Source organism: Homo sapiens, chromosome 11 (genome assembly GCF_000001405.40).
Source record: "Homo sapiens chromosome 11, GRCh38.p14 Primary Assembly".
In the NCBI taxonomy this organism is placed as follows: Eukaryota; Metazoa; Chordata; class Mammalia; order Primates; family Hominidae; genus Homo; species Homo sapiens.
This window is the reverse complement of record NC_000011.10, coordinates 2,128,138-2,151,274: the sequence shown is the minus strand read 5'-3', so window position 1 is coordinate 2,151,274 and position 23,137 is coordinate 2,128,138. Positions and strand designations below refer to the sequence as shown.

Below are 23,137 nucleotides of genomic sequence, written 5' to 3'. Positions count from 1 at the left end.
GCTTAGCTGCTCCCCGGGGGCCCTTTCTATCCTGACCGCTTCTCCCTGCTCTCCTTCTCCTGTTTACACACCCTGGGTTCCAAGATCCTGATGGGATAAAATAGCCTTGGAGACTAGAGTGAGCTCCTCCTGGGCCCATCCAGAGATGGAATTCCAGTCCAGGGCAGAGTTTGGATTCAAGACACCATTGTGGGCCTGGGAGGCTCCAGGTTTCCAGGAGTTTGACCTGTGGGCTGCTTCCCTTTCAGCCCCATAGCTGCCCACCTCCTCAACCTGGGGACTGTTCATTTGGGGGGGCATCCCATGGAATCACTTCATCTGGCTGGGTGTCAGCCCGTCACTCTCTCTAGGTCCATCTGCAGCTTGGAAAGTCCCAGCCAAGTGTCTCCAGAGGGCTCTGGCAGTCGCTGTTTGCAACATTTGGGCATCTTGCAGCAGACACTGGGACCAGCACATGCTACGGGGTCTCTAAGCCATAGAGCCCCGGAGCAAGGGCTGCTTCATGCTGACCTCCTTGTATCTTTGTTTTGTTTCTTTCCCTGAGTCTTTGTTTTGTGCCTTCTCTTCCTGCAGGCTTGAGGAAGAGGTGTCAAATTCCCAGTAAGACTTGATCTAATCCAATGGGTGATTCTATCTGAGCCCTCCCTGAGCTGCTGCCAGCTCTGAGTCTGTGCTTTAGCTGGAAAGACTGTGAACCCATTCAGTGCTCTGGACCTGACAGGGCCATTAACATCCCTCCCCACCCAAAAGCCGAGTGAAAAATCCCATTTTCCCTCCTCCCATGGGAGGGCATGGCTCTGGGGCATCTACGTCTTATTTGAGACATCCCCCAACACATGCCAGATTTGAATCCCCTTCAAGTCTAACTCTCTTCCCTGCTGAAATCCTTGTTGTCCCCACTAGATGTCCTATTCCTCCAGCTAATGAAGGGATTTAAGACGAGGGCTTGAAAGAAAAAGGGAGAGGGGACAATTAAATCCCAACACAGGCTAGTAAAACTAATCACACTGAAGGTGGTTGGGGTGCGTGGGTGTTGGAGGGGGGGACTGGTGGCTCTCTGGAAAGTACACGTCTTTGCCTCTTCCTGAGTCTTTGCTAGCTTGGGGAAGAGGTTAGAAATTTCCAGTGTGATTTAGTCCAATCTGGTGGATGCTTCTATATGAACCCTCACCCAGCTGCTGTCAGCTTTGAGTCTGTGCTTTAATTAGAAAGGCTGCGAACCTGTCCAATCGCCCAATCCAGAAATGCCTGCAAGTGCCCCCTGCAGCAGTGTCATTAGAGCTTAGTACCACACAGGGAGTGTCTGAGGTCAGATCAGACGTGACCAGTGAAGTGAAAAACCCCCCAGCTGAGTACCTTGCTCATGGAAGATGGAAGGACATAACTGCACAGTACATAACTGTACCGGGAGCACCTAAAATCCAATTTTTCTGCTGATTCTTGAACCCTGCTTTGTCCCCCTTATTCCCCCCCCCCCCGCCATTTTACCAGTGCCACGTCCACCAACATTCCAGGGTGTCAAGTAACTGCCAAGTGTCACTCTAAGTAAAGCTACACCCACTCCCCACCACCTCCACATAGCCCCCACCTCCTAGCTGGCAGGGAGCTTCTGGCTTATGCCCACGCCCACAGGCGCCTTTCTGCCAGGTCAGGGGTGGGCCAAACCTCCACCCGCTAATGTACCATGCCCTGGTGCTGGAAAGTGCCTGAGCCAGCTGCCCCAGCGGCCTCAGCACTACCAAGTTGGCACAAAGCTCCCCAAATTCGGAGGGGCTCAGGGAAACGAGTGGAGGGGATGAGGAGGTGAGGGGTAAACCCATCATTTCAGTTGGCATTTGAGCAGGTGCCATGCTCAGCGGAGATGAGGCTCTCCCATCTGTAGGGGCCGTATTAACATGCACACTCTAAAAGTGCCCTTCGTTTCTCCAGCCTCAGCTTTGTCCCTCTCCTCCTCCACGTCAACCTGGCCAGAGGGTCTGGACGCCACAGCCAGGGCACCCCCTGCTTTGGTGGTGACTGCTAATATTGGCCAGGCCGGCGGATCATCGTCCAGGCAGTTTCGGCAGAGAGCCTTGGGCACCAGTGACTCCCCGGTCCTCTTTATCCACTGTCCAGGAGCTGCGGGGACTGCGCAGGGACTAGAGTACAGGTAACTGGGCTCCCATCCCTTGAGTGTGAGAGAAAAGCTGCACTTTAAGTGTTCAGGCGTGGGTGGGCCGGGAGCTTGGGGCAGCTGCCAGGATCCTGGTTTCTGAAGGAGGGGAAGAACTTCTGCTGCTGGAGGGTGCAGGGAAGCCTCCTGAGAGCAGCCTCAACTTCAGGGATGGGGTGTGCAGGAAAGGCCATTGTGGAGAGGGTTCTCCTTTAGGGCTGCACAAAGCCACTGAGGCTTTTGCAAGGAAAATAGGTTTTCCTTGACTAATTCACCAAGCAAAATGGGAGGGGTAGGGGAGGAGGGCTAGGCCGCTCTTCCCAGCGGGAACACACAGCTGTCTTCACAAGTGTGAAAGGAAGAGTCTTTCTGTGTGAAAAGTTTCCTCCCGTTGCATCCCCCATCCCATTCCCAGAGACAAACAGGAGACTTTGCAGAGGAGCCAGGGGCCCGAGATTCTGGCGCAGAGATTTTATTTATACATATATACACCATTTTACAGGTAAAGCTTCCTTCCCTCCTGCCTCCCTATGCCTCCTGACCACCAGCAAGAAATTGGACAGGAGACTGAGGAGAAATGCCGGGAGAGGCAACAACCGCCCTCCATGTCCCCCCTAGGTTTAGCTTCTCTCCTCCTGATGGCGCACCTGGTCCCCCTTGCTGCTCTCCCAGCCTCCCTGGCACAGAGAGGCGCCCTGGGGCCAAGGCAGTTTCCCTGGGAATGCTCATTCATGCATGAAGTTTTTCTCTGTTGCACCCTGGACCCAGACTCCTCGATCCACCCAGGGTGGTGTCTGTGGGGAGGGGGTTCATTTCCCCAGGAAGCACAGCCACGCCGTCCCTCACTGGCCTCGTCAAGCAGAGCTGTGTGTCCAGTGGCTTTTGCTGGGGCCCCCTCCTTATCTCCTTCCAAGGTGGGGGTGTTTGGAGGTGGAGGAGGCTTTCATATTCCGTGCCATGACCCCTCAAGGCGGGCCATTCGTGTGCACCCTCCACCCCCAGTGCCAGGCAGAAGCCCATCCTCACCCAGGAACAGGGCAGCCTGTCCAACAGAAGGGTCTCGGCCTCTCCATCAGCACCGGGAAGCCCTTTCTAGGCAAACTTCTCACCACTTCTTCCCTCCCTTATACTTTGAAAGAGGGAGCTCTAGGCAGGGGAGGGGCTAGAGGGGGAAGCCGCTGCCCAGATCCTGACAAGGTGACCTGAAGGAACCCGGGGAGGGGGATGGGACAGGGCTCAGGCTTGGGGTGTATGGGGAGGGGGGCTTTGCTTTTAAAAGAGGTCATCTCAGCAATATCTTTTTGTTTTTCCCCAGGGGCCGAAGAGTCACCACCGAGCTTGTGTGGGAGGAGGTGGATTCCAGCCCCCAGCCCCAGGGCTCTGAATCGCTGCCAGCTCAGCCCCCTGCCCAGCCTGCCCCACAGCCTGAGCCCCAGCAGGCCAGAGAGCCCAGTCCTGAGGTGAGCTGCTGTGGCCTGTGGCCCAGGCGACCCCAGCGCTCCCAGAACTGAGGCTGGCAGCCAGCCCCAGCCTCAGCCCCAACTGCGAGGCAGAGAGGTGAGTGTCTCAGGCACCCTGAGGCCTGGCAGAGAGGGCCACAGGCTCTGCGCGGGAGTCTTCGAACTGGGATCTCCCCCTTCTGCAAGCAGCTTTGGCTCAGAGAGGCTGGCGTGGATTCAGTCACACAGCTGGGATCTGGAGTTCCGTGGTTGGCTCCAGGTGCTTCCGTCTAGGGGCCAGAGCAGGTGTGGGCAGAGCAGGTTCCCCGCAGTCTCCACGGCACCGAGGTCCTGGCAGGGGAGCTCCTGGGAGACGAAAGAGGGCAAAGAAGGGGAGAGGGGCAGGGAGAGAGCGGGCAGCCAAAGGGGAGAAGATGGGGGGCAGAAAGTGGGTAGAGAGGGAAAAAGGGAAAATATCATTGGGGAAGAACCTAAAAACCCAAGGAAAGCTGGGCTCTGCTGGGGGCTGTGAGACCCCCGGGTTCTCCCCGCCCCAGGCTGCTGGCCATGGGGTCTTGCACCAATGGCCTGACCTTTCTGTCGGTCTGTATTTATCAAAGTGGGTGACAGTCTCAGGCCTCCTGGCTGTTCAGAATTGAGGTAATAACCAGAGGCCTTCTGAGCAAAGGGCCTAAGGGGCTCCGGCGTCAGGATCCCATTGTGGTCAGGAGCCTGCGGGGCTTCCCGTGTGCAAGAGGGGTGAAAGGTGGCTAGAAAGGCCCAGCCAGTGGCCTCTGCCTCAGCCAGAGGGAGCTCTGTAGTGGGGGCAGCACCCATTCACTGGTCAGGCACTGGGGTGACAGGGGAGGCTCCAGGACTTGGGGAGCGTTGGAGCTGGAGGCACATGGATTGGAGTCCCTGTACCTGCCCCACGACAGGGCCTGCAGGGAGGGATCCAGCAGGTGACTCTTCAGGCTGATTTGCCCATCCCAGATAGAAGCCGGGAGTGTTCTTTCAAAGGTGTCTTTACCTTAGACACTCAATAAAATGGTAACACAGTGGCGCCGCCTCAGTCCTTTGGAGTGTGCACCGTCTGAACCCCTCTCCCAGGGCCCTCTCCCAAGCACCCCAACCTGGACCCATATCCCCCACGTACTTTTGGCTTTGGGCAGATTGAGCAGCCTTGGGGTGGTCTGTGCTGTCTGGTGTGGAGGGTTGCAGTTCGGGTCCTTAGTCCTACTTCCCAGGCCGGCCGGGCTGACGCCAGCGAGTGTGTCCTTCCCCAGCGAGGGGAGTGAGCGCAAGGTCAGCGCCTCGTCTGCGGCGCCCTGCAGGGGGTGACGGAGGGGCGCTCTGAGGACCCTTGGAGAAAGGAGCTGGGTTTGTAAAATGCTGGGCTTGGTCCCACGGACGGCGGAGCGGTGAGCTCAGAGCCAGAGCTGGGGAGGAAATGGGAATGAGAAAGGCCCACTTCAGGGCTGGTGAGCGAGGGGATGGGGAGCAGCCACAGGCCGAGGCTGGGGCATGGGCCAGGCTCCATGGGGTGAGTCTGAGTCCTTGAGGGGATGTTCATCCTCTGTGGAATGTGGGTTTGCCAGTGGAGAGGAGACCAGCGTTGCCCTGGTGAGGTGCTGGTTCAGGGCTGGGGGGCGGACGCTGCTTGGGGCTAAAGTTCCTGCCGGCCAAGCTCTGGGTGGGAGGAGACCCTGGCCCCCTCCCAACACCCTTGGACTGCTGGCGGGACCCTTCCTACCTCCGGGGGCTGGAAGTAGTGGGGGAGGAGCCAGTCTTGAGGAAGAACCCCGATGCTGGTCTTGACTAGAGGGGAGCCGGTGTGCTTTTCGAGCCTCAGGGTGACCCGCGTCTGCCCCAGCCTCCAGCCTGCCCTGGTCACTTCTGACTAAATAAGGAGAGCACTCAGCAGGCAGCCCCACGAGGGAGGGGGAACATGTGTGCACCCCCACTCCCCCACCTGCTCCTCCCTCCCTACAGGGCCACTACACCCTGCTGTGGGCACCCCAAGGTGACCCTCAGCCTTCTTCCTACCTTAAAAAGTCCAGGCATGCATTTTCAAGCATGAGCGGTGGCCCCCTGGGGGAAGGCACCTCGGCAGGGCAGAACAAAGGGAAGGGACCCCCAAACAGGTCACTGGTGTAATTGTCCCCAGCACCCCCAAAGAGGAGGAGAACCCACAACTCGGAACTGGGGCTCACCCCCGATGCCCAACCTGTCCCCAGCCTGGGAAGCAGGCGTGGAGGAGAAGGTGGGGGGAGCCTAGAGCTGGCCCTGGGGGCCCTGGTTTTGTCCATGACGGGAGCCTCGGCAACCTAGTCCGCTCTCCCGGGGACCAGGTTTGCAGACAGGCACCTTTCAAATGCTCCTCACCCCCAAATTTACAAGTCACCCTGCAGAGGAAAACATCAACACAGCCAGGGGTTCTCTGCTGGAGGCTCCCCCTTCTATAGGCACAGCCGGAGAGGCCAGAGAGCTGGGGACACGGGGAGGCTGCAGAAGGCTGGTGGGAAGGGGGGCAGTGATGGGTGGGGAGAGATGGGCCAGATGTTCTTGGAATGGGACATGGGGGTGATTGATGCAGACAGAAATTTGAAGGGGACATTCCCACGTGTCTTGTTCTGTGGGTGGAAAATGGGCTGTTTTTCATGGTGGGGGCGGGTTCTCCCTGTCTTGCCAAGCTAATGTGAAAGAGATGCCTCATCCTGCCCAGCTCCCCACACCTGTCCAAGGCCATTAACTTCTGCCTCCCCAGTGTCAGGCTTTGAGATGCCCCCCTTCTAGCCGGGGTCCTCCTATGGGGTGACAATGGGGACAAGCAATGCCCACTGTAGTTGCCCCAGGATCCCCCACCATTCTGCTGGTCCCCAGCGGTGCCCCCTCTCTGGCAGTACCCCCACCCACCCCACAGGTCCCCTTAGGGCCACTGCCCCATCGCCCGACATTGCCCAACGCCAAGGGGTGACCTTGTTCCTGCCGACAGGGCCGTTGGGCGCCTGCATGCGGGTTTAATATTTGCCTATAAGGAACTGGGCTTTCCCCAGCCGGAGTGGACAGACTTTCCCTGAAAATTCGCTTGGAGAGAACGAAAAGAGACCCCTGGCACCCCAGCGGCGTGCAGCCCTGCACCCCCCTCCTCCCGGGCCCCGTGTTTCTCATTTTCCTCCCCACTTCCTCTGCTCTTCAGTGTTACCCAAACAAAACTGGTTTCACCCTTGTTTGGTGCTGGCGAAGGCCCGAACGGCGCGCGCAAAGCTCCGGGGCAGGCCGGAGGTGGCCACCGGGGGTGCTCCGGGCCCCCAAGCCAAGCCGGGGACTAGCCTGCCCCCGGTGGCGGCTCGGCCGCGGCTTCGCCTAGGCTCGCAGCGCGGAGGCGAGTGGGGCGCAGTGGCGAGGGGGAGCCTGCGGACCTCCCACGCGGGGACCGAGCAGGTATCTGGGAGTCCCGGGAGCGCCCGGGAAGCAGCGTCCTGGTCGCTCCCTCGCGGCCCTTGGGTTTCTTCCTTACACCCGGACGCCCGCTAAGCTCGGGCTGCCGCCACAAACGCGCTCTCCGTGTGGAGAAGGCAAAGAAAAAAAAAAATAAAAGCAAAAGGAAGAAAAACCCCAAAGAACGAAAAGCAGAATTTCAGCCGGCCGTGCGCGCCAGGGCGCTCCGCGCTACCTGCCCGCGCCGCCCGCGCTCGGGTTCCCGGGGAGGGCGCCAGTGCTCCGCGCGCGCCCCAGCCAAGGTGAATCCCCGGCAGCGCCTTCCTTCCGCTGCCCGGGAAGCTTGAGCTCAACAATTAGCCCTTGATCCTCGGGGGATTCCAATCCACGGAACAACTTCCCTGCTTTCCCCGAACTCGGACATTTTACTTTTTCTGGGATCCTCTAAATTTAAGCATTGCTTCCCAAGTCTTCTAAATATACTCACCATTTCGACGGGTCACAATAATTTTCTTGGACGTTAATTTCCGGGGACGTCAAAACACATCAGTCCCGGCGGGCTTTTCCAGACTTACACTATGTGGCCTGGGGCCCCAGATGTGCTTTCTCCCAGGCTCTGGACAGTTTTATACACCCCCTCCAGGTCCCACAGATTTACAGGCCACTAACCCGGCTTCCCTAATTTTAAAGACGAAGCCCTTGGTCCGTGGTGGTCGCGCTGACCAATTTGCCTGGCTCCCCAGGATGTGGACAGTGCCTTTTCCACATTTAGGCATTGTTTCCAAAACAAGTGGAACTTTCCCGCATAATTTTGAATATTAACTCCAGGGTCTCCTAAGCTTACTGTTTCCGGCACACGTCCGCCCCATTCCGCGCCCCCCCACCCCACCCCCGCGCCCCTTCCCGTTCACCTCAGCATGGGACATTTGCTGTTGGGTCCCGCAAATCTATTCACACTAACCTGGGTTCCCTAAACTTTACACGTTGAATCCCAAGTCCCTCATGACACTCAGCAGGGCTGGAAGGTTGGAACCCTCAGAGTATGAAAATTGCTTCCCATACCTTCCCCCAAATTCGGTCATTACACCCAGAGCATGTTGAATCCTTTTCTGAATCATAAACGACCTGCCCTCTGATTGCCTGAGTTTCATAAAATGGAGGGATTTCCCCAGTGATTCCCCAAAGCTATTGAGAATGTTGTGGGTGTGTGAGTCACAAAGCTTTGGGGCATTAACGTCTATGGCTCTATATGCTGCCTGGCCACGAATCAGGTCCCTTAAGATGTAGACAGTGCCACCCAGGTCCCTGGAGCACACTGAGCAGTTACCAGGAGGTGCTCAAGTGTGACCCAGGATTCTCCAGGTCCCCCCAAATCACACAGGGTCTCCCGGGTCCCTCTGGGCTACACCAAGCACAAAAGGACCCCTTGGGCAGAGCCTACTTTTATTTCTGTTATGCCAGGTGTTGCTAACGGCCCCAGTTCCCAAACATTCCGAGCACTTTCTCTGCATCACAACATATTGACTATTAAACAATTCTCTGGGTCCCAGGAGCTTCATAACAAGAATCTTGCTTTTCTAAAATTCAGGCATTGGTCTGAAACCCCAACGGCCAGGATCACACTGGACCCTTTTCCTGGTCCCCCATACTTGGATGTTCTGGACGCTGCCCTCCAGGCCCTCTAGGAACATTCAGCATTGCCCTCGGATCACAGGACAGCACTGATTTCTTGGGCTCCAAACAACCCACTGAGTCATCTCAAAGTTAAGCAATATTTCCTTCAAGCACACTGCACACTCCCTATCACAAAATCTGAAAATTCCTAAGTCCTAAGACCTAGGAATTCTGAATCCCCTTTCTTTAAAATGTACATATGGACCCCCAAGTCCTCCAAGGACTCTGAGCAACTTCCCTAGATCTTTAGATTCAAAAACGATTTTCCTGGAGCCCCCAAATTGCGGTATTGTCTCCCAGCCTTCCAAAGCAAATTGAGATTTTTTTCCCTTCACAAAACAATTGAGGTTTTTTTTTTTTTAATACTGATTTATGAGTCTCCTGACTTTATGGTCCCTGCCCTGGGTCCCCCTACATTTAGAAAATGTTCCATGGACCCCCAAAGCACACTAAAAAATGTCCCTGGGTCCCAAGAAATCCCAGGCATGGAAAAACCTGCGACCTATAAGTTTCCTAGCTACTAACTAGGTTTCCAGAAATTTAGATATCAAATCTCCATTGGGTAATTTCCATGTGTCCCAAAAACTTGAAATGTGTTTCACTGGGGCTCCCCCAAATGCAGACGACATCCAGGAAAATATATAGTCTTTTTCTTATTTACCAAAAATAAGCTAATGGAAATCATTTAAAAATTAGCATAGAAAAATAATACTGATTTTTTATTTTTTTATTTTTTATTTTGCTTTCCCCAAATGTACTGATCACACTCCAGGCTCCCCCAAAATCTAGACAGTGCTTTCTTCCATCTCTGAAGGGTGTTAAAACCTTTCCCTGAAGCCACAGTAATTATGAAGGTTATTTTTTCCCCGGCTGCTGCCAGCGTCCAGGCCACTAACTTATATTCTTAAGATGTGAAAATTAATCTCAGCTTCCCCCTAACACACCAAGAATGTGTTTGGATCCCCAAAATGTGTTCCTTGCTTTCATCTGCCAATTTTACGTAATATGGCTCTACGGCAAAATTCCCAATTTCATATGGAGAATTTTCTTTAACTACCCCTCCTCACAAATTGGTCCCCCAAGCTAGCTGGCCCCTATTTGAGACCTCTTTCTCTATGTTCCCAATTGCATGGAGCAACTTCTCTCATCCCCCAAACCTGTAATCTATTTTTCTGGAGTCTCGAGTTTAGTCATTAATCACGGTTCCCACATTAACGGAGTCCCCGGGGTCCCCTCCTCCAGGACACCCATTCGCTAAGCCCGCAAGGCAGAAAGAACTCTGCCTTGCGTTCCCCAAAATTTGGGCATTGTTCCCGGCTCGCCGGCCACCCACTGCAGCTTCCCCAACCCCGCGCACAGCGGGCACTGGTTTCGGGCCTCTCTGTCTCCTACGAAGTCCCCAGAGCAACTCGGATTTGGGAAATTTCTCTCTAGCGTTGCCCAAACACACTTGGGTCGGCCGCGCGCCCTCAGGACGTGGACAGGGAGGGCTTCCCCGTGTCCAGGAAAGCGACCGGGCATTGCCCCCAGTCTCCCCCAAATTTGGGCATTGTCCCCGGGTCTTCCAACGGACTGGGCGTTGCTCCCGGACACTGAGGACTGGCCCCGGGGTCTCGCTCACCTTCAGCAGCGTCCACCGCCTGCCACAGAGCGTTCGATCGCTCGCTGCCTGAGCTCCTGGTGCGCCCGCGGACGCAGCCTCCAGCTTCGCGGTGAGCTCCCCGCCGCGCCGATCCCCTCCGCCTCTGCGCCCCTGACCGGCTCTCGGCCCGCATCTGCTGCTGTCCCGCCGGTGCTGGCGCTCGTCTCCGGCTGCCGCCGGGGAGGCCGGCGTGGGGCGCGGGACACGGCTGCGGACTTGCGGCTGGCGGCTGCGCTCGCTCCTGCTGGGCGCCCCGAAATCCGCGCCACTTTCGTTTGCTCATTGCAAAGATCTCATTTGTGGGGAAAGCGGCTGGAGGGTCCCAAAGTGGGGCGGGCAGGGGGCTGGGGCGAGGGACGCGGAGGAGAGGCGCTCCCGCCGGGCGGTAAAGTGCCTCTAGCCCGCGGGCCTAGGACTCCGCCGGGAGGCGCGCGCGGAGCGCGGGCGAAGTGATTGATGGCGGAGCGAGGGGGGCGAGGGGGGCCAGGGGGGCGCGAGATTCCGCCGGCGGCCCCTTCCCCTTGGCTAGGCTTAGGCGGCGGGGGGCTGGCGGGGTGCGGGATTTTGTGCGTGGTTTTTGACTTGGTAAAAATCACAGTGCTTTCTTACATCGTTCAAACTCTCCAGGAGATGGTTTCCCCAGACCCCCAAATTATCGTGGTGGCCCCCGAGACCGAACTCGCGTCTATGCAAGTCCAACGCACTGAGGACGGGGTAACCATTATCCAGATATTTTGGGTGGGCCGCAAAGGCGAGCTACTTAGACGCACCCCGGTGAGCTCGGCCATGCAGGTAGGATTTGAGCTGTGTTTCCCGCCCTGATCCTCTCTCCTCTGGCGGCCGGAGCCTCCGTAGGCTCCAAGCCTGGCCCAGATTCGGCCCGGCGCAGCCGGCCTTCCGCGCGTCCCGCACCTGGCGGGGGCTCCGGGGCTCCGGCGCGGCACCGGGGGGCGCTCGGGATCTGGCTGAGGCTCCAAGCGCCGCGTGGCCGGCTCCTCCTGCTGGGGCAGGTGGCGGCTGCGCGCCCCGCCCGAGCCCAGGGGCCCCCTCAGCCGCAACAACCAGCAAGGACCCCCCGACTCAGCCCCAAGCCACCTGCATCTGCACTCAGACGGGGCGCACCCGCAGTGCAGCCTCCTGGTGGGGCGCTGGGAGCCCGCCTGCCCCTGCCTGCCCGGAGACCCCAGCTCACGAGCACAGGCCGCCCGGGCACCCCAGAAACCCGGGATGGGGCCCCTGAATTCTCTAGAACGGGCATTCAGCATGGCCTTGGCGCTCTGCGGCTCCCTGCCCCCCACCCAGCCTCGCCCCCGCGCACCCCCCAGCCCCTGCGACCGCCGCCCCCCCCCCGGGGCCCCAGGGCCCCCAGCCCGCACCCCCCGCCCCGCTCTTGGCTCGGGTTGCGGGGGCGGGCCGGGGGCGGGGCGAGGGCTCCGCGGGCGCCCATTGGCGCGGGCGCGAGGCCAGCGAGGCCCGCGCGGGCCCTGGGCCGCGGGCTGGCGCGACTATAAGAGCCGGGCGTGGGCGCCCGCAGTTCGCCTGCTCTCCGGCGGAGCTGCGTGAGGCCCGGCCGGCCCCGGCCCCCCCCTTCCGGCCGCCCCCGCCTCCTGGCCCACGCCTGCCCGCGCTCTGCCCACCAGCGCCTCCATCGGGCAAGGCGGCCCCGCGTCGACGCCGCCCGCTGCCTCGCTGCTGACTCCCGTCCCGGGCGCCGTCCGCGGGGTCGCGCTCCGCCGGGCCTGCGGATTCCCCGCCGCCTCCTCTTCATCTACCTCAACTCCCCCCATCCCCGCTTCGCCCGAGGAGGCGGTTCCCCCCGCAGGCAGTCCGGCTCGCAGGCCGCCGGCGTTGTCACCCCCCCCCGCGCTCCCCCTCCAGCCCTCCCCCCGGCGCGCAGCCTCGGGCCGCTCCCCTTTCCGCGCTGCGTCCCGGAGCGGCCCCGGTGCCGCCACCGCCTGTCCCCCTCCCGAGGCCCGGGCTCGCGACGGCAGAGGGCTCCGTCGGCCCAAACCGAGCTGGGCGCCCGCGGTCCGGGTGCAGCCTCCACTCCGCCCCCCAGTCACCGCCTCCCCCGGCCCCTCGACGTGGCGCCCTTCCCTCCGCTTCTCTGTGCTCCCCGCGCCCCTCTTGGCGTCTGGCCCCGGCCCCCGCTCTTTCTCCCGCAACCTTCCCTTCGCTCCCTCCCGTCCCCCCCAGCTCCTAGCCTCCGACTCCCTCCCCCCCTCACGCCCGCCCTCTCGCCTTCGCCGAACCAAAGTGGATTAATTACACGCTTTCTGTTTCTCTCCGTGCTGTTCTCTCCCGCTGTGCGCCTGCCCGCCTCTCGCTGTCCTCTCTCCCCCTCGCCCTCTCTTCGGCCCCCCCCTTTCACGTTCACTCTGTCTCTCCCACTATCTCTGCCCCCCTCTATCCTTGATACAACAGCTGACCTCATTTCCCGATACCTTTTCCCCCCCGAAAAGTACAACATCTGGCCCGCCCCAGCCCGAAGACAGCCCGTCCTCCCTGGACAATCAGACGAATTCTCCCCCCCCCCCCAAAAAAAAGCCATCCCCCCGCTCTGCCCCGTCGCACATTCGGCCCCCGCGACTCGGCCAGAGCGGCGCTGGCAGAGGAGTGTCCGGCAGGAGGGCCAACGCCCGCTGTTCGGTTTGCGACACGCAGCAGGGAGGTGGGCGGCAGCGTCGCCGGCTTCCAGGTAAGCGGCGTGTGCGGGCCGGGCCGGGGCCGGGGCTGGGGCGGCGCGGGCTTGCGCCGGACGCCCGGCCCTTCCTCCGCCCGCTCCCGGCCCGGGGCCTGCGGGGCTCGGCGGGGCGGCTGAGCCCGGGGGGGAGGAGGAGGAGGAGGAGGAGGACGGACGGCTGCGGGTCCCGTTCCCTGCGCGGAGCCCCGCGCTCACCCTGGCGGCGGAGCTGGGGGTGGGGTGGGGGCGTCGGGAAGGGCCGAGGGAGGTGTGAGGTGTCTGCAGGGGCGACTTCCCGGTCGGTCTGTGGGTGCAGGGGGTGCCGCCTCACATGTGTGATTCGTGCCTTGCGGGCCCTGGCCTCCGGGGTGCTGGGTAACGAGGAGGGGCGCGGAGCCGCAGAAGCCCACCCTGGTATGTTGACGCGGTGCCAGCGAGACCGCGAGAGGAAGACGGGGGTGGGCGGGGCCAGGATGGAGAGGGGCCGAGTTGGCAGGAGTCATGGCAGACGCCACATTCGCGACATCTCCCCCACACCCCCTCTGGCTCTGTCCGCAACATTTCCAAACAGGAGTCCCGGGAGAGGGGGAGAGGGGCTGCTGGTCTGAGGCTAAGAAGGGCAGAGCCTTCGACCCGGAGAGAGGCCGCGGCCCCTGCCCAGTGGGCAGCGTGGAAGTTTCCATACAAGGAGGTGGGAAGGAGACCCCCCCCCCCTTCACTGCCCTGTGCAGAGATGAGCCGGGGGTGCAGGATGGGAGCCCATGGCACTTCGCTACGGGATGGTCCAGGGCTCCCGGTTGGGGGTGCAGGAGAGAAGAGACTGGCTGGGAGGAGGGAGAGGGCGGGAGCAAAGGCGCGGGGGAGTGGTCAGCAGGGAGAGGGGTGGGGGGTAGGGTGGAGCCCGGGCTGGGAGGAGTCGGCTCACACATAAAAGCTGAGGCACTGACCAGCCTGCAAACTGGACATTAGCTTCTCCTGTGAAAGAGACTTCCAGCTTCCTCCTCCTCCTCTTCCTCCTCCTCCTCCTGCCCCAGCGAGCCTTCTGCTGAGCTGTAGGTAACCAGGGCTGTGGAGTGAGGACCCCCGCTGCCATCCCACTCCAGCCTGAGGCAGGGCAGCAGGGGGCACGGCCCACGCCTGGGCCTCGGGCCCTGCAGCCGCCAGCCCGCTGCCTCTCGGACAGCACCCCCCTCCCCTCTTTTCCTCTGCCCCTGCCCCCACCTGGTCTCTGCTCCCTCACCTGCTCCTTCCCTTTCTGTTCCTTCCCTTCGGCCCCCTCCTTGCCCAGCTCAGGACTTTTCCTGGGCCCTCACCTGCTCCGCACCGCTGCATGCTTCCTGTCCTGCTTTCTGCCGGTCCCCTGACCCGGACCTCCAAGTTCAGAGTGGTGGGGCTTGTTGCGGAAGCGCGGCGAGGGCTAGAGTGGCCAGCTGGCGGAGTGTGCTCTTAGAATTTGGAAGGGGGTGGCAGAGGGGGCGGTGAGAGGACTGGCCAGGGTCCAGTCAAGGAGATGACCAAGGAGGCTTTCAGATCCTCGGCGCAGCTGCCCACTAGTCTTTAGAGAGGGCATGCAAAGTTGTGCTTCTGTCCCACTGCCTGCTCAGTCGCTCACATAATTTATTGCATCAAAAACTCCCCTGGGTCTGCGGAGCGAAGGCTGGGGCTGCCCGCCTGGAGGGTTCCACCTTCTGCAGGGGCAGGGCCAACTTGCTGTGGTGGCTCCCGGCCTCCCACCCCCGAGTGGGTTAACCCGGCCCTGTGGCCCTGCAGCCTGTGGAGGGGGTGTGTCCTAAGACTGGCCTCCCCTTCCAGATTGTAGTCTGGGGAACCTGGTGTCGGACTTCCCAGGTGGCCTGAGCTGGTCTCTCCAGCTCCCACGGGGAGAGTTTGGTAGCGCAAATAGGGAGATGTTCTGGAGGCCCCTGGCCTTACTGGTTCGATTTGAGGCCTGGAAAGGAGGCTCTGGGCGTGTGTGTGTGTGTTTGGGGGTACCCAAGGCAGACTGGAGTTGGAGAACTGGGTGACTGGGAAAACAAGGTTTCTAGAGCATGGGTGGCGTGGTTGTGTTAACCATTGGAGTCCTTGACCCAGGCCTGGCTCAGCTGCAGACTGGAAAGGTGGAAAAGCCAGGGGGAGGGGCGGGGCTGGCCCAGCAGGACTGGCCTGCTGCTTTGAGGGCGATGGTCCTCCTGGACCCCCCCTGCTCAGCTGGGGGTTGTGGGGAGGAAGGGACTGGTCCTCCTGGATGCACATGCTCTGTAGGGGTGGGGCTGTCTGCCATCTTGGCTGGCGCTGGAGGCCTGAGAAGTGGCGATGTGACGCTGGGCTGGCCCTGCCCCCATGGTGTCATAGGACGGAGGCCAGGTCGGGTGTCCAGCCTGGGCCCCTGCAGCTGTGGATGCCGCTGAGCTCCTGCAATAATGACCGTGGAGATGGTCACCCCTCGTGTAAAATTACTAGTGCTTCTTGCAAATGGAAGGAACTGGGCCTTTTCTGTGTGCTTCTGGACGCTTCATTCTGCACATGGCCCTGCGCCCTCACCTCGGCATTATGACCTGTGTGTTACTTTTGTAATAAAAATAATGTTTATAGGAAAGCCGTGCTTTCAATTTTCAACTGAATTTGTAGGTTGGCAAATTTGGTTTGGGAGGGGCACCTCTGGCCTGGGGCTTGGCCTGGCTGCCCCGCTCACGCCACTTCTCTCCCGCCCCCAGACACCAATGGGAATCCCAATGGGGAAGTCGATGCTGGTGCTTCTCACCTTCTTGGCCTTCGCCTCGTGCTGCATTGCTGCTTACCGCCCCAGTGAGACCCTGTGCGGCGGGGAGCTGGTGGACACCCTCCAGTTCGTCTGTGGGGACCGCGGCTTCTACTTCAGTAAGTAGCTGGGAGGGGCTTCCTCAGACCTGGTCAGGCCCCTAGAGTGACCGGTGAGGACGCCCAACCTCAAGCCAGGGGAGCACACTCCTAGGTCAGCAGCCCAGCCGCTTGCTCTGAGACTTTGACCTTCCCGCCGCGTTTCTGAGCACGTGCGGTGTCCCAGGGCATCCACACCAGCTGCCTTTCCCATCACACGCCTCCTTCGAAGGGTGGGCCAGAGGTGCCCCCTAGACGTCAGGGGCACTCACAGGGGTCTCCCTGGGCATCAGAATTTCTGTTGGGGGCCGTGAGGCTCCTGCTCCTGAGGCACCGCACGCCTAGTGCAGGGCTTCAGGCTCTGGAGGAAGAGCCTGCCTTTCTTCCTGCACCTTTTGGACATTCTGACAAGGGACGTGCGTTCGGTGAATGATCAGAATTAAAATCAATAAAGTGATTTATATAATTAAAATCAATAAGACAAGTGCAGTTGGTGGGTGGCAGGGGTGAGCGGTGCATGCGCCTCCTTGGGCCCCAAGGCTGCCGTGGGGGGTGCCCACCTGCTGACCTCAAGGACGCTTCAGCCTTTCCTCATGTTTCTCTCTTGGTTCTCCAGCCTGGGGGCTGGCAGGTGGGTGCATGGCCCATTGTCCTTGAGACCCCACCCCCAGATAGGGGGGCTGGGTGGATGCAGAGGCAGGCATGGTGCCTGGGCATGCCTGATGGGGCAGGGGAGGGGCCGCTCCTTACTGGCAGAGGCCGCACGGCTTATTCCACCTGACACTCACCACGTGACATCTTTACCACCACTGCTTACTCACGCTGTGAAATGGGCTCACAGGATGCAAATGCACTTCAAAGCTTCTCTCTGAAAAGTTCCTGCTGCTTGACTCTGGAAGCCCCTGCCCGCCCTGGCCTCTCCTGTGCCCTCTCTCTTGCCTGCCCCATTTGGGGGTAGGAAGTGGCACTGCAGGGCCTGGTGCCAGCCAGTCCTTGCCCAGGGAGAAGCTTCCCTGCACCAGGCTTTCCTGAGAGGAGGGGAGGGCCAAGCCCCCACTTGGGGGACCCCCGTGATGGGGCTCCTGCTCCCTCCTCCGGCTGATGGCACCTGCCCTTTGGCACCCCAAGGTGGAGCCCCCAGCGACCTTCCCCTTCCAGCTGAGCATTGCTGTGGGGGAGAGGGGGAAGACGGGAGGAAAGAAGGGAGTGGTTCCATCACGCCTCCTCACTCCTCTCCTCCCGTCTTCTCCTCTCCTGCCCTTGTCTCCCTGTCTCAGCAGCTCCAGGGGTGGTGTGGGCCCCTCCAGCCTCCTAGGTGGTGCCAGGCCAGAGTCCAAGCTCAGGGACAGCAGTCCCTCCTGTGGGGGCCCCTGAACTGGGCTCACATCCCACACATTTTCCAAACCACTCCCATTGTGAGCCTTTGGTCCTGGTGGTGTCCCTCTGGTTGTGGGACCAAGAGCTTGTGCCCATTTTTCATCTGAGGAAGGAGGCAGCAGAGGCCACGGGCTGGTCTGGGTCCCACTCACCTCCCCTCTCACCTCTCTTCTTCCTGGGACGCCTCTGCCTGCCAGCTCTCACTTCCCTCCCCTGACCCGCAGGGTGGCTGCGTCCTTCCAGGGCCTGGCCTGAGGGCAGGGGTGGTTTGCTCCCCCTTCAGCCTCCGGGGGCTGGGGTCAGTGCGGTGCTAACACGGCTCTCTCTGTGCTGTGGGACTTCCAGGCAGGCCCGCAAGCCGTGTGAGCCGTCGCAGCCGTGGCATCGTTGAGGAGTGCTGTTTCCGCAGCTGTGACCTGGCCCTCCTGGAGACGTACTGTGCTACCCCCGCCAAGTCCGAGAGGGACGTGTCGACCCCTCCGACCGTGCTTCCGGTGAGGGTCCTGGGCCCCTTTCCCACTCTCTAGAGACAGAGAAATAGGGCTTCGGGCGCCCAGCGTTTCCTGTGGCCTCTGGGACCTCTTGGCCAGGGACAAGGACCCGTGACTTCCTTGCTTGCTGTGTGGCCCGGGAGCAGCTCAGACGCTGGCTCCTTCTGTCCCTCTGCCCGTGGACATTAGCTCAAGTCACTGATCAGTCACAGGGGTGGCCTGTCAGGTCAGGCGGGCGGCTCAGGCGGAAGAGCGTGGAGAGCAGGCACCTGCTGACCAGCCCCTTCCCCTCCCAGGACAACTTCCCCAGATACCCCGTGGGCAAGTTCTTCCAATATGACACCTGGAAGCAGTCCACCCAGCGCCTGCGCAGGGGCCTGCCTGCCCTCCTGCGTGCCCGCCGGGGTCACGTGCTCGCCAAGGAGCTCGAGGCGTTCAGGGAGGCCAAACGTCACCGTCCCCTGATTGCTCTACCCACCCAAGACCCCGCCCACGGGGGCGCCCCCCCAGAGATGGCCAGCAATCGGAAGTGAGCAAAACTGCCGCAAGTCTGCAGCCCGGCGCCACCATCCTGCAGCCTCCTCCTGACCACGGACGTTTCCATCAGGTTCCATCCCGAAAATCTCTCGGTTCCACGTCCCCCTGGGGCTTCTCCTGACCCAGTCCCCGTGCCCCGCCTCCCCGAAACAGGCTACTCTCCTCGGCCCCCTCCATCGGGCTGAGGAAGCACAGCAGCATCTTCAAACATGTACAAAATCGATTGGCTTTAAACACCCTTCACATACCCTCCCCCCAAATTATCCCCAATTATCCCCACACATAAAAAATCAAAACATTAAACTAACCCCCTTCCCCCCCCCCCACAACAACCCTCTTAAAACTAATTGGCTTTTTAGAAACACCCCACAAAAGCTCAGAAATTGGCTTTAAAAAAAACAACCACCAAAAAAAATCAATTGGCTAAAAAAAAAAAGTATTAAAAACGAATTGGCTGAGAAACAATTGGCAAAATAAAGGAATTTGGCACTCCCCACCCCCCTCTTTCTCTTCTCCCTTGGACTTTGAGTCAAATTGGCCTGGACTTGAGTCCCTGAACCAGCAAAGAGAAAAGAAGGACCCCAGAAATCACAGGTGGGCACGTCGCTGCTACCGCCATCTCCCTTCTCACGGGAATTTTCAGGGTAAACTGGCCATCCGAAAATAGCAACAACCCAGACTGGCTCCTCACTCCCTTTTCCATCACTAAAAATCACAGAGCAGTCAGAGGGACCCAGTAAGACCAAAGGAGGGGAGGACAGAGCATGAAAACCAAAATCCATGCAAATGAAATGTAATTGGCACGACCCTCACCCCCAAATCTTACATCTCAATTCCCATCCTAAAAAGCACTCATACTTTATGCATCCCCGCAGCTACACACACACAACACACAGCACACGCATGAACACAGCACACACACGAGCACAGCACACACACAAACGCACAGCACACACAGCACACAGATGAGCACACAGCACACACACAAACGCACAGCACACACACGCACACACATGCACACACAGCACACAAACGCACGGCACACACACGCACACACATGCACACACAGCACACACACAAACGCACAGCACACACAAACGCACAGCACACACGCACACACAGCACACACACGAGCACACAGCACACAAACGCACAGCACACGCACACACATGCACACACAGCACACACACTAGCACACAGCACACACACAAAGACACAGCACACACATGCACACACAGCACACACACGCGAACACAGCACACACGAACACAGCACACACAGCACACACACAAACACAGCACACACATGCACACAGCACACGCACACACAGCACACACATGAACACAGCACACAGCACACACATGCACACACAGCACACACGCATGCACAGCACACATGAACACAGCACACACACAAACACACAGCACACACATGCACACACAGCACACACACTCATGCGCAGCACATACATGAACACAGCTCACAGCACACAAACACGCAGCACACACGTTGCACACGCAAGCACCCACCTGCACACACACATGCGCACACACACGCACACCCCCACAAAATTGGATGAAAACAATAAGCATATCTAAGCAACTACGATATCTGTATGGATCAGGCCAAAGTCCCGCTAAGATTCTCCAATGTTTTCATGGTCTGAGCCCCGCTCCTGTTCCCATCTCCACTGCCCCTCGGCCCTGTCTGTGCCCTGCCTCTCAGAGGAGGGGGCTCAGATGGTGCGGCCTGAGTGTGCGGCCGGCGGCATTTGGGATACACCCGTAGGGTGGGCGGGGTGTGTCCCAGGCCTAATTCCATCTTTCCACCATGACAGAGATGCCCTTGTGAGGCTGGCCTCCTTGGCGCCTGTCCCCACGGCCCCCGCAGCGTGAGCCACGATGCTCCCCATACCCCACCCATTCCCGATACACCTTACTTACTGTGTGTTGGCCCAGCCAGAGTGAGGAAGGAGTTTGGCCACATTGGAGATGGCGGTAGCTGAGCAGACATGCCCCCACGAGTAGCCTGACTCCCTGGTGTGCTCCTGGAAGGAAGATCTTGGGGACCCCCCCACCGGAGCACACCTAGGGATCATCTTTGCCCGTCTCCTGGGGACCCCCCAAGAAATGTGGAGTCCTCGGGGGCCGTGCACTGATGCGGGGAGTGTGGGAAGTCTGGCGGTTGGAGGGGTGGGTGGGGGGCAGTGGGGGCTGGGCGGGGGGAGTTCTGGGGTAGGAAGTGGTCCCGGGAGATTTTGGATGGAAAAGTCAGGAGGATTGACAGCAGACTTGCAGAATTACATAGAGAAATTAGGAACCCCCAAATTTCATGTCAATTGATCTATTCCCCCTCTTTGTTTCTTGGGGCATTTTTCCTTTTTTTTTTTTTTTTGTTTTTTTTTTACCCCTCCTTAGCTTTATGCGCTCAGAAACCAAATTAAACCCCCCCCCCATGTAACAGGGGGGCAGTGACAAAAGCAAGAACGCACGAAGCCAGCCTGGAGACCACCACGTCCTGCCCCCCGCCATTTATCGCCCTGATTGGATTTTGTTTTTCATCTGTCCCTGTTGCTTGGGTTGAGTTGAGGGTGGAGCCTCCTGGGGGGCACTGGCCACTGAGCCCCCTTGGAGAAGTCAGAGGGGAGTGGAGAAGGCCACTGTCCGGCCTGGCTTCTGGGGACAGTGGCTGGTCCCCAGAAGTCCTGAGGGCGGAGGGGGGGGTTGGGCAGGGTCTCCTCAGGTGTCAGGAGGGTGCTCGGAGGCCACAGGAGGGGGCTCCTGGCTGGCCTGAGGCTGGCCGGAGGGGAAGGGGCTAGCAGGTGTGTAAACAGAGGGTTCCATCAGGCTGGGGCAGGGTGGCCGCCTTCCGCACACTTGAGGAACCCTCCCCTCTCCCTCGGTGACATCTTGCCCGCCCCTCAGCACCCTGCCTTGTCTCCAGGAGGTCCGAAGCTCTGTGGGACCTCTTGGGGGCAAGGTGGGGTGAGGCCGGGGAGTAGGGAGGTCAGGCGGGTCTGAGCCCACAGAGCAGGAGAGCTGCCAGGTCTGCCCATCGACCAGGTTGCTTGGGCCCCGGAGCCCACGGGTCTGGTGATGCCATAGCAGCCACCACCGCGGCGCCTAGGGCTGCGGCAGGGACTCGGCCTCTGGGAGGTTTACCTCGCCCCCACTTGTGCCCCCAGCTCAGCCCCCCTGCACGCAGCCCGACTAGCAGTCTAGAGGCCTGAGGCTTCTGGGTCCTGGTGACGGGGCTGGCATGACCCCGGGGGTCGTCCATGCCAGTCCGCCTCAGTCGCAGAGGGTCCCTCGGCAAGCGCCCTGTGAGTGGGCCATTCGGAACATTGGACAGAAGCCCAAAGAGCCAAATTGTCACAATTGTGGAACCCACATTGGCCTGAGATCCAAAACGCTTCGAGGCACCCCAAATTACCTGCCCATTCGTCAGGACACCCACCCACCCAGTGTTATATTCTGCCTCGCCGGAGTGGGTGTTCCCGGGGGCACTTGCCGACCAGCCCCTTGCGTCCCCAGGTTTGCAGCTCTCCCCTGGGCCACTAACCATCCTGGCCCGGGCTGCCTGTCTGACCTCCGTGCCTAGTCGTGGCTCTCCATCTTGTCTCCTCCCCGTGTCCCCAATGTCTTCAGTGGGGGGCCCCCTCTTGGGTCCCCTCCTCTGCCATCACCTGAAGACCCCCACGCCAAACACTGAATGTCACCTGTGCCTGCCGCCTCGGTCCACCTTGCGGCCCGTGTTTGACTCAACTCAACTCCTTTAACGCTAATATTTCCGGCAAAATCCCATGCTTGGGTTTTGTCTTTAACCTTGTAACGCTTGCAATCCCAATAAAGCATTAAAAGTCATGATCTTCTGAGTGTTCCACTCTCTGACTTGGGTACTGGACTGCCAGAGGGAGGGAAGGGGCTGAGCACCTGGAAGCAGGCAGAGGGGGATAGAAGAGGGAAGGGGAAGGAAGGCCTTAGGGGTGTGGACACCTCTCTCCGTCCCCTGATCACATACATGGAGAAATGAGAGAGCTGGAAGCCAGACTCTCAGACTCACTGTCGTGCACCTGAAGCCAGGGGGTCTGGGACAGTGTCAGGCACCAAGTTCTCAAAGATGGGGGTGCCACGAAGGGTAGGAGCCTGGGGGGCTTTTTCAGAGAAAAAGCAAAGTACCATCAGTACCAACTCCAGGGAATGCCTCCCCCACCAACAGCCTTAGAGGACTGGGGCTGGGCAACCTCTAAAAGGTTCTGGAAACCGTATCTGTGGCTGGAGATGGGGGCTCAGGGCCACTCTCACCCAGGGACTCAGCCCCCTTCCAAGGTTGAGGCTGCCCAGATGTCATTAGTACCACTGCCTCCTGCCAGGGCTCAGCCTGTACCCACCTGTCCCAAGGGTGCTGGCCTCTAGCTTTCAAGGGTCCCTGAGCATGGGAGGAGGGGTAGGCTGGGCTGCTGGGAGCCTGGCCCAGCCTCTTCTCTCCATCCCCCTCCAGGAACTTTCCAGCAGCCTTGGGCAGTGGATCTGCCTGTGCCCCGCCTGCTGTGGGGATGGAGGGACAGGGGCGCCACAGAAGGAGCCCAGAAGTGTGCCCAGGGCCCTGCAGCCTTCAGTGCTGGGCAGGCGGTGGGGAGGGGCCTGACTGGGTTGGGGGCGTGCTTGCATCCTGGCCCCCAGGGTCTGCCCCTGGTCAAGCCCTGTCCCTTGATGGCTGCCTCTGTCCCTAGCATTTCTCCTGTGCCGGGCACTGGAGGGTGCTGGGCTGTCACCCAAGCCTCTGAGGCCTGGGGACACGTCTACACGGACAGTGTCACTGCCCACACCATCTGAGAACCACTCC

General features: G+C 59.9%; 2 protein-coding genes, 1 long non-coding RNA gene and 1 other non-coding gene across 10 annotated transcripts in view, besides 2 other annotated features; 3 read left to right on the top strand and 1 right to left on the bottom strand.

The window, feature by feature from the left end:
* Positions 1–22,158, top strand: part of INS-IGF2 (INS-IGF2 readthrough) — a 32,093-nt gene extending 9,935 nt beyond the window's left edge. The window contains exons 3-7 of one of the 2 annotated variants that reach the window (NR_003512.4): positions 1,930–2,149; positions 3,468–3,709; positions 15,746–15,908; positions 17,610–17,758; positions 18,052–22,158. Coding sequence is in view for 1 of the 2 variants with exons in the window: in NM_001042376.3 (NP_001035835.1) it covers positions 1,930–2,149; positions 3,468–3,663 (416 nt within the window). In the remaining variant the exon portion in view is untranslated. Of the gene's footprint in view, positions 1–1,929; positions 2,150–3,467; positions 3,710–4,529; positions 4,653–15,745; positions 15,909–17,609; positions 17,759–18,051 lie in introns of those variants that run through there. The other variant, NM_001042376.3, reaches the window with a different exon arrangement.
* Positions 1,709–22,158, top strand: IGF2 (insulin like growth factor 2). 5 transcript variants are annotated; one of them, NM_001007139.6, is made up of 5 exons: positions 1,709–2,149; positions 3,468–3,709; positions 15,746–15,908; positions 17,610–17,758; positions 18,052–22,158. In NM_001007139.6, exons 3-5 carry the CDS (start codon positions 15,752–15,754, stop codon positions 18,286–18,288), a joined length of 543 nt encoding a protein of 180 aa, NP_001007140.2. In that variant the 5' UTR covers positions 1,709–2,149; positions 3,468–3,709; positions 15,746–15,751; the 3' UTR covers positions 18,289–22,158. The 5 variants fall into 5 exon arrangements, with proteins under 5 accessions (NP_001007140.2, NP_001121070.1, NP_001278791.1 ...); NM_001127598.3 differs by lacking the exons at positions 1,709–2,149; positions 3,468–3,709 and adding exons at positions 10,332–10,418; positions 10,976–11,140; NM_001291862.3 differs by lacking the exons at positions 1,709–2,149; positions 3,468–3,709 and adding an exon at positions 10,332–10,418.
* On the bottom strand, positions 2,609–10,763 carry IGF2-AS (IGF2 antisense RNA). 2 transcript variants are annotated; one of them, NR_028043.2, is made up of 3 exons: positions 10,328–10,763; positions 4,748–5,030; positions 2,609–3,957 (listed from the first exon to the last, which is right to left on the bottom strand). It is a non-coding gene; the product is annotated as an IGF2 antisense RNA (long non-coding RNA). The 2 variants fall into 2 exon arrangements; NR_133657.1 differs by having other exon boundaries at positions 4,748–4,919.
* Positions 13,471–14,092: an enhancer, noted in NCBI's record as "H3K4me1 hESC enhancer chr11:2158413-2159034 (GRCh37/hg19 assembly coordinates)". NCBI's record gives its function as "activates a minimal SCP1, AML or CMV promoter by ChIP-STARR-seq in naive H9 embryonic stem cells {active_cell/tissue: H9 hESC(naive)}" and the evidence as "EXISTENCE:reporter gene assay evidence [ECO:0000049][PMID:30033119]".
* Positions 16,326–16,912: an enhancer, noted in NCBI's record as "H3K4me1 hESC enhancer chr11:2155593-2156179 (GRCh37/hg19 assembly coordinates)". NCBI's record gives its function as "activates a minimal SCP1, AML or CMV promoter by ChIP-STARR-seq in primed H9 embryonic stem cells {active_cell/tissue: H9 hESC(primed)}" and the evidence as "EXISTENCE:reporter gene assay evidence [ECO:0000049][PMID:30033119]".
* On the top strand, positions 17,066–17,141 carry MIR483 (microRNA 483). Its single transcript, NR_030158.1, has one exon. It is a non-coding gene; the product is annotated as a microRNA 483 (primary transcript).

What these genes read in the sequence shown, in the direction of transcription:
- IGF2 (NM_001127598.3), top strand. Translation starts at nt 10,979, where the DNA reads ATGGTTTCCCCAGACCCCCAAATTATCGTGGTGGCCCCCGAGACCGAA. An exon ending in GGACCGCGGCTTCTACTTCA is followed by an intron (nt 15,909 to 17,609) that starts GTAAGTAGCTGG and finishes TGGGACTTCCAG; the next exon opens with GCAGGCCCGCAAGCCGTGTG. An exon ending in CCCCTCCGACCGTGCTTCCG is followed by an intron (nt 17,759 to 18,051) that starts GTGAGGGTCCTG and finishes TTCCCCTCCCAG; the next exon opens with GACAACTTCCCCAGATACCC.